Source organism: Homo sapiens, chromosome 16 (assembly GCF_000001405.40).
Source record: "Homo sapiens chromosome 16, GRCh38.p14 Primary Assembly".
Lineage (NCBI taxonomy): Eukaryota > Metazoa > Chordata > Mammalia > Primates > Hominidae > Homo > Homo sapiens.
Genome location: NC_000016.10, coordinates 24,073,898 through 24,087,895, shown reverse-complemented (window position 1 = coordinate 24,087,895; position 13,998 = coordinate 24,073,898). Strand labels below are relative to the sequence as shown.

The window sequence follows — 13,998 nt, the reverse complement described above, 5'->3', positions numbered from 1 at the left end:
GGGCTCTGGGTGCAGGGTGAGGTCTGCCTGTTTCTGTCTAAGGGTCTTTGGAGCAAGCGAGGCCTCTGCATTCTGGTCCAAGTTCTCTAAGACAGCACTGAATCCATAAAAAGATAGCATGCATGTTAACTATTTTTCCAAGAATTGTTCTTCACCAAGAAGTTCCTTAATTGTTTTTTCTTTCTAAGAAGATACAATTATCTGTCAGAAAACTCAGAATAATTGTGCTGCTTTCATATCCCGATCCCACATTATGTGAATCAGGAGCATCTCTTATTTAACTCCTTTTGAAGGAACTTTCCTCAATATTGTGAGTCTTGCTTTGTCCTCACTGTGTGTCCTCAAAACAGTAATTCATTCCAGTGAAGGATTTATTAAGGAAAAATAAAAGAACATTAATCCAAAGTAATACCCACTAATATTCAGCCTGAGGATGTGTGCAATTATAAAAGTAGGAAATAACCTGAGTGCCCACCAATGGGGGAAACAGTAAATAATATATGGCGCATTCATACTGTGACGCACTTTGCCCATGCCGATAACATTGGGTTATCTATATGCAGAAACGTGTTGAAAAAAGCAAGATGAAGCACGTTGAAAAAAGAAGATGAGGGCAATATAATGCCTCTTTGTTTAAGAAAGAAGCGTGAAGGCATTAGTGGTTCAATTAGTGAAATCTGGAGCTGAACTGTCAGATAATAGCATTGGGTCAATGTTGCATTTCCTCATTTGAATAAATGTACTAAGAATATTTTTGTTCTTGGGAAATACAACTGAAGTATTTCAGGATAAGTGGAAACCATGACCCCAACTTACTCTCAGATGGATCAGAAAAAAAATGTGCACACATATAAAAATACATTAGTAGAGAAAATGCTAAACCAAATGGAGCAAAATATAAACAATTAGTACATCAGGTAAAGTGTATACAGAAATTTCTTTTACTGTTATTGCAATTTTCTGTCATTTTGAGATTATGTCAGAATAAAAAAATTTTAAAGGCCCTCCAAATATTTAAAAGAAAGGTACAGTAAAATGCATTTTCTACAAGGTCATATATGAATGTAAATATATAGAAAAGAGTCTGAAAAGATATACCCAAAATTGATTTAAAATAATGTCCACCTCTGAGGAACAGGTAGAGGAACCTGATTTGAGGGTTGTGAATAAAGATTTTAGCTTTATCCATCACATTTTAAATTTCTGACAAAGAGAATGTATTCTTGTATTAATTGTGTTATTAAAACAATTTACAAATTCAGTTGTGCTTTTACAGTTTCCAAGAATCTATTGCCCTGGCTTTCAGAGACCCCATCCTATTCCTCCAAAGAGTTTATAGGGTAATTGGATCCGCAGGGTGATACTTAAAAACTTTTGGTTTGCATCATAGAACCCAGAAAATGAGCTCCGTGGTGAATAACACACAGACCCAGGATAAGCTCATTGAGGTCAGCTGGACATCCTCAGCACATGCCCTAACCAGGGTTGGAGGGAGAGACTAAACAGGTCAATCATTTCAGATCCATCAACCTATTTTCACTGTCCTGCCCTGCCCCTCTCCTGTTTCAGTTATCTGTTGGTGGCTGACAGTTTACCTGGTCCTTTGCTTGAACCCCCCTGCCCTGCCATACCTTCCCAAGTTGGAAGCTTCTTTAGCCCTTTGCTCTACAATCTAGATTTGTGTCCCATCGATTCCTGTTTACTTATTACTTCTTCTAACCCTGGGGGTTTCTGACCCCAAGGTTCTCTGATGCTGTGGCTTTTATGAGCCCTGAAATCCCTCAGAATCCCCTTCCCAGCCTCTGTAACTGGCCATGCTGTATAATCTTCACCTGATAGGCTCTGATTACAAAACCAGCAAACGTGGGGTCTTTGGGCAGCCCACATCCAGCATCAAAGTCCTCCCGAGCACATCGTGGTCCCAAAGGCTCCTAGAACAGCTGGCTTCCCATCATTGCTGGCAGTGGTACAGTTATCACACATCTAATTATCTGTGTTGAGACAGACTTCCAGCTGGGACTGTCATGGTGTCTGTCAAGAAGAGAGCCTGTCAAGCCACAGCTAGTGAAACAATGGTGGAGAGCTAGCGTGGTGAATCAGGAACTAAGTTAGCAATGGCTAGACCTCAGAGTCAGGCAGACACGGTTGTCAATTCTACCTCTGCCATGACTCTCACTAACTGGGTGATCTCACTCAAATGGCTTCTCTGAGCCTTTGTCTCCCCACCCCCAAATTCTCATAAACCTACACAGACAACTCAAATGGGCTCTTGGATAATAGTGGGGGTGACCATCCATCCCAGTTTTCCCAGAGCAACCTCAATTTAGAACTGTTGTCCTCTCACTCTTAAGAGAGTCCAAATTTTAACAATAAATTATATGACTACCCTAATGATAGAGGATAACAGTGTCAAAGTGGAATGTAAGGCACATGGCAGAGGCTCAACAAATGTTGATTTCCTTTCTCCTTTCAGAGAATTTAGACCAAATTATGTAACAATCAAGATAAATTCCAGGGCTAAAAGAGTATCCCTCCAATGTGATTTTCATACAAATGAATCTTGGAGGAGGTCTGAGAATAATAGACGACGTGAAGTCAAACGTATCATCCATTCTTCTTATGACCTCCTCTCCACTCCAGTCCAGGCATTTGGAGTTTCACCTGATATGGCATAGCCTCTAAACTCTCCAGTGGTAGTTTATCCTTTTATGTCTCTACTCCCTTTACCTGGCTTTTTTTTTTTTTTCATTTCATCAAACCCTCCAGTTCCTCAACTGTTTCCTTTCCCCTGGTCCATCAGTGCATTGCTACGGTTTTACTTCCTCCCTACCACTTCCCATATGGAAAAGCCATTCAATCGCTTCTGACCAGTGGCTTAAATGTCCTTACCTTCCTGTCTCTTCAACATCCTGTGTGCATACCCTCAACCATGAGTGAAATTTGCTCTAGACAGTGTCCCCAGGGGAAAGTGTCACACATAGGGGCTTCATGCCACTATATACCCATGATCTCCAACCACAGCAAAGTCCCGCACACTGCTTGTCAAACCTATTGGGTGTCCCTAGTTAATTTCCCATTCCTTACAGAAGCAATTTCAAGATTTCAATTCTTGAGGCTCCCATCTGATTCCTACCTCCATCTCACTCATCCATTGATCTTTGGTATTATATGTTTTTGTCATTAATTTCTAGTTCTGTTTTATTTTTATCGGAAAATGTGGGCTGAGCAATTTCTGGGGGCATTTTGGAGGGAATTTAATGAGGTTTCCTTAACAAGTTAATATATCACTAATTTTGTGAATACTAGGGAAAAAATGTAATTCTTTTATTGAAGGGTTCAGGATTCAAGATAGAGAGGTATTTTATATTCACTCTAATTATATTATTTAAATTATCTATATCCATTTTCTTAACCGCTTTTATCTGTCCAAGACTGACAAAGTGTGTTTTTAAAGCCCTTCTATTATGGTATTTCTGTAAATTACTCCTTTCATTTCAAGTTTTTGCTTTATGCATTTTGGCCCTAGGTTCATGATTACTTTTTGTCCCCAGACTTTACTTACCATAAATAAAAGACACATTTTATATAGTATATTATATATTTGTCTTGAACTCTACTTTGAATACAGTATAGATGCTTTTCCATTTGCTCTGGTCTTTTCTCTAGGAGTATCTGATACTCATTTACCCATGGATAAATGCTATTTGTTCTCTACATCTGTCATTTATTTAGTGGTTATATTTATTTATTTGTCCCTTTCCCCTGCCATCCCCATTGGAGCACTCCTTAAGCTTGTTTCCATATTACTTATTACATTTTCTGCAGTAGGCACTCCTCTATCTACTGCTTCTACACACTTTGATTTAGTCTACTGTTTTAAATTACTTTTTAGTATCATAACATGACAACCTTCTTTCTTCTGCATTCCTCTTATCCATCTCCCTCTTCATCTTGGACTATTGCCTTCTTTTCTCTCTCTTCTCTCTCTCTGTGTGTACTTGTGTCTTTTATCAGCTTATTTTCTGCCTATAACATTTATTTTATGTGTTTAATTACATGCAGTAAAATTGACTTTTTGGTGCACAGTTTTGTGAAAAAATTTATACATTTTAATGCATGTATAGATTCACGTAACCATCACACAATCAGAATACAGAAGAGTTCTATCACCTCGGAAAAATTCCTCATACTTCTCCTCTATAGTCACATCCTCTTCTCATCCTCAGCCCCTGGCAACCACCGATCTGTTTCTCATCACTACAGTTTTATCTTTTCAAGAATAATACCTAAATGGAATCATACAGCAAGAAAACCTTTTGAGATTGGTTTCTCTTTCTCGGCAAAGGGCCTTTGAGGGTCATCCATGTTGTTGTGTATATGAACAGTTAATTCTTTTTTATTGCAGAGTAGTATTTTATTGCATGGATGTATCAAGGTTTATCTATTCAACTGTTAAAGAATATTTCAGTGGTCTTCAAATTTTAGTGATTACAAATAGAGCTGATATACTCACGGGTTCTTGTGTGAGCATAAAGTTTCACTTCTTTAAGATAAATAACTAGGAGTGGGATCATTCAGTTATATGCGTTTGTTTAGCTTTATAAGAAGCTGCCACACTTTCCCGGAGCAGCTGTACCATTTTGCATTCCCACAGTGATGAATGAGAGTTCCTCTTGTTCTGCATACTCATTAGCACACCATATTGACAGTATTTATTATCATTATCATCATTATTTTAGCCATTCTAGTAAGTGTGCAATGGTATCTCATTGTGGTTTTAATTTGCATTTCTGTAATTTCTAGTGATATTGAATATCTTTCCATGAATGTATTGGCCATCCTTGTATTATTTGGTAAAGTGTTTGTTCAGGTTTTTAGATTACATTTTAAGTAAGGCTGGCTTCATACAAATGAGTCTGAGAGTTCTGATACAATGAGTTGGATACAAGTCCTTTGTCAGATATGTGATTTGCAAATATTTTCTTCCAGTTTATAGTTTGTTTCTTGCAAAATAAAAGTTTTTAAACTTTAATAAAGTACAATTTACCACTTTTTTTTTTTTCTTTTATGGGTCACGTTTTTAAGTGTCACGTCTAAGAACTCTTTGTATAACTACAGGTCATAAAGATTTTCTCCTGTGTTTTCTGAAATTTTATACCTTTATATTTTGCTCCATGACCCATTTTGAGTTAATTCTTGCAAAAGGTGTGAGATGGAGGTCAAGGTTCATTTTGTTTTCATATGAATGTCTAATCATTCCAACATCATTTGTTGAAAGACCGTCCTTTTTCCATTTCATTGTTTTCGCACTTTTGTTGAAAATCAATAGGCCGTATTTGTGTGGGTCTATTTCTGGATTCTCTACTGTGTTCCAATGGCTTGTGTATCTATCCTGTCACCAATATCACATTTGATTACTGAAGCTTTATATAGTAAGTCTTAAGATTGGGTACAGTAATTCTTCCAACTTTATTCTTCATCTTAAGAATTGTTTTGGCCATTCTGGATTCACTGCCCTTCTATACAAGTTTTAGAATCACTGTGTCCAAACATACAAAAAATCCTGCTGGGATTTTGACTTGAATTTCATTAAGCCTACAAATCAATCGTAAGACTTGCTATCTTCACTCTGCTGAGTCTTTCAATCCATGAACATGGGTTATCTCTTCATTTATTTAGGTATTCTTTGATTTCTTTCAGTGTTTTGGAATTTTTAGCATATAGATTCTAGACATGTGTTGTTAGATTTATACCTAAATATTTCCTTTGTTTTGCAGCTGCTGTAAGTAGTATTTTTTAAATTTTTGGTTTCTAGTTGTTAATATATAGAAATACAATTGATTTTTGTGTGTTGACTTGTATGCTGCAACCCAGCTAAACTCACTCATTATTTCTAGTAATTTCTTGGTAGATTCCTGTGGATTTTCTACATAAACAATACTGTTTTCTGTGTATAGAAACAATTTTTCTTTTTTTCCTTTCCATTCCATATGGTTTTTATTTTTTATTTTATTATTACTTTTTTGAGACAGAGTCTTGCTCTGTCACCCAGGCTGGAGTGCAGTGGTGCAATCTCAGCTCACTGCAACCTCTGCCTCCCAGGTTCAAGCAATTCTCCTGCCTACTCCCAAGTAGGTGAGACTACAGGCATCTGCCACCACGCCCGACTAATTTTTGTATTTTTAGTAGATGTGGGGGTTTCACCATGTTGGCCAGGTTGGTCTCGAACTCCTGACCTCAGATGATCCACCCACCTCAGGCTCCCAAAGTGCTGGGATTACAGGCATGAGCCACCGAGCCGAGCCCCACATGCCTTTAAAAATTTTTTTTATCTTACTGTGCTGGTTATGACATGATGTTGAATAGGACTGGGGAGGATGAACATTTTAGTTTTGTTTCATAGCTTAATGAGAAAGCATGCAGTTTTTCATCATTAAGTATGTTACAGGTTTTTGGTAGATACTTCTTATTGGATCAAGAAAGTTCCCTTCTATTTCTAGTGTGCTGAGAACTTTCATCATAAATGAATATTGAGTTTTGTCCAATTTTTTCTGCATCAATTGATATGTTAATTTTTTTTCTTTCTTTAGATTATTAATATGGTAAATTACATTGGTTGATTTTTTTTTTTATTATTAAGCCAGCTTGCATTCTCAGGATAAAACTCATTTGGACGGAGTGTATTTTTCATTTATATATTGCTGAATTTAATTTGCTAATATTTCTATGAAGATTTTTATATTTATGTTTACAAAGAGTTCTTACACATGACACTAAAAACATGACCTATAAAAGAAAAAAATGATAAATTGTACTTTATTAAAGTTTAAAAACATTTGTTCTGCAAAACACAAATGACGAACTGGAAGAAAATATTTGAGATATTTGCTTGTAGTTTTCTTGTACTATTTTTGTCTGGTTTTGGTATGAGGGTAATGCTAGCCTCATAAAATAGGTTGAAAAATGTTCCCTTCTCATCTACTTTTTAGGAGAATCAGTATTATTTCATCTTTAAGTGTTGGTAGAATTTACCAATATAAATTTCCTTTTAAGCACTTTTTAATCTGGATTCCACAAAGTATCATGTGTTATACTTTTATTTTCTTTCAATTCAAAATATTTTCTTATTTCCCTTGAGACTTCTTCTTTGAACTAAACCATGGATTATTCGGAAGTTTGTTTGTTAGTTTCCGTATTTTTCCAGGGGCTCTACTCTTATGATTTTACTTCTACCTAAATACTGACAACTCCCACCCACACCTCTTTACTGACCTTTACAACTGTATGTACAACTGTCCACTGGTTATCTTGTACTGGATGTCCCATATGTACGCTAAACTCAACATGTCCAACAACGCTCATTATCCTCCTGCTCCCCCGACACCACCATGTCTCCTCCCTGTCTTTCAATGCCAGTCTTAGTGAGTGTTGAACTATCCACCCAACTGCCCCAGTAAGAATCTAGAAATCATTCTGGTCTCCTCCCTTTGGTGCAATCTACAACCCCGTGCTGTTTGATCTGCCTCTTTCTCATTTTGTGTACCTGAGTCCCTACTATTCATATCACTGCCATCTGAACAATAATAAGTGTGCCATAGAATTACTGTGATTATTAAGTTATATTTGAATCCTGGTATTGTGCTGGGCAGGTGATGAGTGATTCATAAACAGCAGCTGCTCATATGATTGCTCCCTGGCCACTCACTTTTCCTCTCTGGGTGAAATTAAGATCCTCCTCATTGGTTTCCTGCCTGTGGTCTTCTATTGAGCCCTTCCTTCACTCCCCCACCAAAGTGATCTTTCAAAAGCTAGAAACCGATCGCACACTCTTCAAACAAAAATCTTTCATAATTTTAGAAAATCTATTAATAATATGATTCACTATAAAACTAGGTCAAAGGAGAAAAACTATATAATTATCTTAAAAAATGACGAAAAAGGCGACTGACAAAATTCAATAACCATTCGTCCTTTTAACACTTGGAAAAATAGAAATAAATGAATGCTTTTCTTGACGTAATAAATATACCAACAGCCTTCATTATGCTTACGGGTAAAACTCTAGAGGCATATCTATTAAGGCCACAATCAAATTAAGAATGCCCACCATCACTATCATAATTTAACATTGTTCTGAAAGTACCAATCAACGCAATTACATTTTTTAAAAGTATTGTATAAGAGGCTTAGATGTTGGAAAAGAGAACACAAAATCAGCTTGGATTGTCTGAATTGTATCTTAGAAAAATTCCCCAAAGATTCTGGCATCTGATTGATACCATTTTTCTGGTTTGTCACCCTGATCAATTTTTTTCCATTTTTAATCTCTTTGTCACTTCAGTGGGAATTTGGAAGAAGGAGACATTCAATATATGGTCTCAGTTGAGCATTAATTACATTTTTAGTTAGAAAAAAAAATGTTACTCTAAATCTGAGAGAAAGAAATCATTGTGTAAAAGGGGGGCTGGTCTTGTGCACCTAATTCTTAACAAACTGGAACTAGACACAACGCGGGTGCCCCAAGGTTCAGTCCAGCTGATACTCGGACTTCTGAGGGTTTTGCAACACTGCCAAATGTCACGTGTGTCCGTGTGAAGAGACCACCAAACAGGCTTTGTGGGAGCAGCAAGGCTGTTTATTTCACCTGGGTGCAGGCAGGCTGAGTCCGAAAAGAGAGTCAGCAAAGGATGATGGGATTATCATTAGTTCTTATAGGTTTGGGATAGGTGTACAAAGTACCTTCTTAAGGGCGGGGGAGAATATATCGTATCAGTTAGGGTGGGGCAGGAACAAATCACAATGGTGGAACGTCATTAGTTAAGGCTATTTTCACTTCTTTTGTGGATCTTCCGTTGCTTCAGGCCATCTGGATGTATACGTGCAGGTCACAGGGGATATGATGGCTTAGCTTGGGCTCAGAGGCCTGACACCAAAACCATGCAACTTTTGTGCTCAGTAACTGAGTCCTCCTGGGACCCAGAAGCTTTGAAATCTTGGAGGTTTTATGACCCCCTAAACCCAGTTTAGTGTCAACTATTTTCTACAGCGGTTTCCCTGGTCATTCAGGGTCCTACAGTTCCCAGCGTTGCTCCACACTTACTCTGACTCCACACAACCACAACCCCACAAGTCTAGAGACCATTTCCCTCGACAGGGAAGATCTGGGTTAGTCCACCTTTGAGCTCTCACAAGCCCAGTCTCTTAATAACTAGCATTCCCCAGTGGTGTGGACAATGTCACCACTGGATCTCACTGGGGGATGCAGCACTTGCTACTTTACTCATGCACGGCAGAGTTTTCAGGGCTTGATGCAGATGGAAGAGGAGCTCTTCAGCCCAGCTTGGAAAAACAAGAGTAAACCTGCCCCCCATAAACATCTGTTCCCCTCAGGTTGGCCCTGAGGGTCTTTCTGTCTGCCTAGGACAGATGGTTTGGGAGTCAGGCATCCAATAAGTTAGCTTTACTTCTTGTTTGGAGACCACCTCCTGCCTCAAGTTAAGTGAAAACAAGAAGGACAGACGAGGTTTACCAATTCCTCACTCATATCCTCGGGACAGGAACCAGGATGGCGTGCCATGGGGCCCCACCCTTGCTTGGGTGCTGAGTAAATGCAGCATGAAGCATGGAGGCAGGAGGTGCTCAACAGCCCCCTCTCCCACGCTGCAGCGGCTGCAGACATGGCTCTGGGTGCTGCTTTGCAATGTGATTATTTCTAAAGATGTGACATAAATACTAACATGGAGTCCCTGGAGCTGCAGAGTCGCTGCTTGGCAGCTTAATTTGGACATTCAATCAAAACTGTCTGTCGGCAGCTCTGCACAACCCAAGCAGCATAGGGCCAGAAGCCCCGCAATCTGCTCAGTGAGAACGTTAAGTGATGGGTTTAATTTTCAGAAGCTTGGGACAAAAGCCTTCCCAGCTCTGAGGAAGGCGGGTTTACTTCCCTTCTCTAGAGAAACAGTGCATATTTTCTCATATCTTCAATAGGCTCCCTGCTTTGATAGAAGAGCCCTGTCTACATTAACTACATCACTGAATCATGGAATTCAAGGATTTTTAAAAACTGAGAGGCACATTCTCAGACCATGATCCTCAGACAGTCAGGGAAAAGGGCTACCATTTGAAGACAAGTTTCCTGTTTCTCCTACTGTTGTTCAGGGATGAAGGGAGAAGAAAACATCTGTTAGAAGGGGTCCCAGCAGATGAATGCTTCCTCCTTTCATTGTCAAACATCCTCAGTCACACAGAAGCACTAAAAGAGAGTGCTGGATACATTTATCCTAAACGGATATATGATTACATGGATGGATGAGTTGGCTGAGTGGATGGATGGATGGGTTAGACAGATGAATGAATGTATGGATGAATGTATGAACTGGATGGATGGATGGATGGATGGATGGATGGAGAGATGAATGCATGTGTGGATGGATGGATGGATTAGATGGATGAATGTATGGATTGGATGGATGGATGGATGGATGGATGGATGGATGGAGAGATGAATGCATGGGTGGATGGATGGATGGGTTAGGTGGGTCAATGAGTAAAGTAATGGGTCTTAACTAGCTGGAAGGAAACTGGCATCCTTTCCATTTTCTTATTATCATAATTTTACCAAACTATCCATATCTCAAGGCATCTACTGAATCTGCCCCATCCCACATCCCTCCATTCTTCACCACCGTAGACACACAGACACACACACACGTGCATGTGCATCTTCAAAATACTTCCAAATGGCACAGCCCAAGCACAAGCTAACCAGTACTGATGCTGTGCTCAGTACTGGAACAGGGTCCTAGAGGCCCCCTGATATGCCCAGGTGCTAAGTTTACTTGCCAGGCTATGGGGAGGTCCAAGGAGGATCCCAGGGGAGCAGCTGGGACTGTGGGAAGAGCTGCCTCAGGAGAGAGCTGCAGCTATTTTCCAGCAGGCACAGAAGCACTGCTGGAGTGTTCTGGAAGAATGTCTGACTACACTGAGATGCAAATACAAATCCGATGACCATCTATAAAAGGGTACACAGATGAGATAGACAGAGTTCCGGCACAGCCCCCACCCTATGCCTCTGCCTGTTATTCTAAACTCTGCCCAGACAGAGGCAAATATTCCAGTGACCCTGGCCATCAGCAGATGCTATACTCCGGCTCCCTGAGAGCAAGCCCTATGCTGTTTCCTTCTGTGACTCAAACAGTGAGTTAAAGGCACACTTGTAGCAAGGTAATACGTTGAGGTTTGAAGTGCCTGTTTCTCCCACTTTGCACTTCATTGAATTCTGTCACTTGTACCCTGAGGCTCCTCCCCCCAGACCATGCAGCTAGACGTGAGTCATCCACTGCCTTAGGGAGAAAGTTGTCAAGGTATTAGTGAGGAACAAAGCCAGTGAATTCTGACTTCTCAGTTCTGAAAGCTTCTGTCTCGTCTTTCTCCCTATCAGGCCCCAAAAGCTGAGCTCCAGGATGACAGAGAGAATGGATGAAGAAGCAGATAAGGCCCCCTTTTTGCTCCATGATTCACCCCTCTGATCTCCATACTCTGAATTAGCCCCACCTTTCACCTCTTTTAACCAGAAAAGCCAAAAGCACTCCTGTACATCTGCCAACAACTGCCAATCCTGGAAAGAGGCTGAGTCCAAATCCCAATTGGGCTTAACTGGGGCATATAAATAAGGCTTTTCACATGCTCCAAACAACTCCCCTTTCCCTCACACCATGACTGAGAAGTCCTGTTTCAGAGAGTGGTTCTCAAAGGGTGTGGCCCAGACTAGCAGCGTCAGCATCACCTGGGAACTCATTAGAAATGCATGATCTCCTAATGTTATTCCTCCCACCTAATGTAAATGACGAGTTAGTGGGTGCAGCACACCAACATGGCACATGTATACATAGGTAACAAACCTGCACATTGTGCACACGTACCCTAGAACTTAAAGTATAATAACAAACAAAAAAAAAGAAATGCATGATCTCAGGCCCTGCTCAGACCTGCTGAATTGAGGATGGAACCCAGCAACCTGTATTTTAACACACTTTCCAGATGACTCTGATGTGACACTCATGTATGAAAACCACTGCTTTTGACCAGTGTTGTTGAAGCCAGCCTCACCAGGGTAGGAAGAATTCTGGACAGAAATATAGTTACAATTCAGCATTAATCAGGCTAACTTTGACCCACTTCCTTGCAACTAAAAGTCAGGTAACACTGGATACTGACCATTTGCAACCTCGTTGTTCCTACAGATAGGATTTCTGACATTAGAATCATAGGCTTTTGTTTAAGAGTTGCTTAAACAGATCCTGAATTCCAGCAGAATAGCTGATGCCAACCAGTTTAAAGACCCCAAACAGAGGAACTGAATCAGCAAGAGAACACAGCTTCTTTATCTCCCTGTCCCATGACTCCATCCTGCTCTTTTCCACCAATCAACAATCTCCACACTTCAGCCCACTGCAAAACCCTTAAAAATCCTAGCCCCAGACTCCTCTGGGAGATGGATTTGAGGTTTCCTCCTGTCTCTTCCCTACAATTAAACCTGTTTCTCTGCTGCAACTCAGTGGCTTAGTGTATTGACTTGCTGCATGCATTGGGCAGTGAACCTATTACAGTTACACTGTCCAATAGAACTTTCTAAAATAATGGAAGTGTTTGATGTCCAGTATAGTAACCACTAGCCACATGAGGCCACTGAATACCTGAAATGTGGCTATTGTGTTGGAAAAATTGAGTTTTGCATTTTATTTAATTTTCTTTAATTAAATTTTTTTTTTTTTTTTTTGAGATAGGGTCTTGTTCTGTCACCCAGGCTAGAGTGCGTGGTGCAATCATGACTCACTGTAGTCTCAACCTCTTGGGCTCATGTGAGCCTTCTGCCTCAGCCTCCCGAGTAGCTGGGACTATAGGCATATCCCACCACATTTGGCTAACTTTATTTTTTGTAGAGGCAAGTTTTTGCTATGTTGCTCAGATTGGTCTCAAACTCCTGGCCTCAAGCAATCCTTCCACCTTGGCCTCCCAAAGTTTTGGGATTACAGGTGTGAGCCACCAGGCCAAGCTCGTTAATTTAAATTTAAACAGCCCCACGTGGCTAGTGGCTGCCATATTGCACAAAGCAGCTTAGACCGTTGCATCAGCCTCCTTACAGATTTCCCTCCCCTCCTCGTCTCCTTTCAGGTCACCCTATAAGCTTCAGACAAATTAATCTTCCCAGAACGCAGATCTTATCATGTCATTCCTACTCTCAGAACATCCTCACTGACTCACTGTTGCCTACTGATTTTAAATACATGTTCTTTTTGTTCTTTTTTAGTAAGCCAAAATGTTTTATTCCAAAATATGATAGAAAATAGATTAAATAATAATAGTTGACGGTGAATGAGCTCTTACTATATGAGCCAAGCACTATTCTAAGGACTGCACATGAATTATCTCATTGAATCCTTACAAGAACCTTATGATGTGAGTGTTACTGTTTTCCCCATTTTACTGATGTGGAACCTGACAGCTGAGGGGGTTGAGTGACTTGTCCAAGGTATACAGAGAGCTGATAACAGTAGAGCGGGATTTGAACCCTCTCTGTCTTCCTCCCAAGGCTGCACTCTTAGGCACGACATCACAGTGCCTCGGAAGATCCATCTGGGTCAGATTATTTTTCCCTCTTAGGGTGCCCCTTATGAAATCCATAACCATGGTCACACATTCTATGGCAGTAGCTTCGAGGTGTGTCTTAAACACATCACTTGCTCTTCTTTTTTTTTTTTTGAGATGGAGTCTTGCTCTGTCACCCAGACTGAAGTGCAGTGGCATGATCTCGGCTCACTGCAAGCTCCACCTCCTGAGTTCATGCCATTCTCCTGCCTCAGCCTCCCCAGCAGCTGGTACTACAGGCGCCCGCCACCAACCACGCCCGGCTAATATTTTTGTATCGGGGTTTCACCATGTTAGCCAGGATGGTCTCGATCTCCTGACCTCGTGATCCGCCTGCCTCGGCCTCCCAAA

The 13,998-nt window shown here is 40.4% G+C and overlaps 1 protein-coding gene across 3 annotated transcripts in view, besides 2 other annotated features; it reads right to left on the bottom strand.

The window, feature by feature from the left end:
* PRKCB (protein kinase C beta) overlaps positions 1–13,998 on the bottom strand; it is a 384,629-nt gene that overhangs the window by 132,716 nt on the left and 237,915 nt on the right. The window lies entirely within an intron of this gene.
* Positions 10,756–11,568: an enhancer, noted in NCBI's record as "NANOG-H3K27ac hESC enhancer chr16:24087649-24088461 (GRCh37/hg19 assembly coordinates)". NCBI's record gives its function as "activates a minimal SCP1, AML or CMV promoter by ChIP-STARR-seq in naive H9 embryonic stem cells {active_cell/tissue: H9 hESC(naive)}" and the evidence as "EXISTENCE:reporter gene assay evidence [ECO:0000049][PMID:30033119]".
* Positions 11,569–12,381: an enhancer, noted in NCBI's record as "NANOG-H3K27ac hESC enhancer chr16:24086836-24087648 (GRCh37/hg19 assembly coordinates)". NCBI's record gives its function as "activates a minimal SCP1, AML or CMV promoter by ChIP-STARR-seq in naive H9 embryonic stem cells {active_cell/tissue: H9 hESC(naive)}" and the evidence as "EXISTENCE:reporter gene assay evidence [ECO:0000049][PMID:30033119]".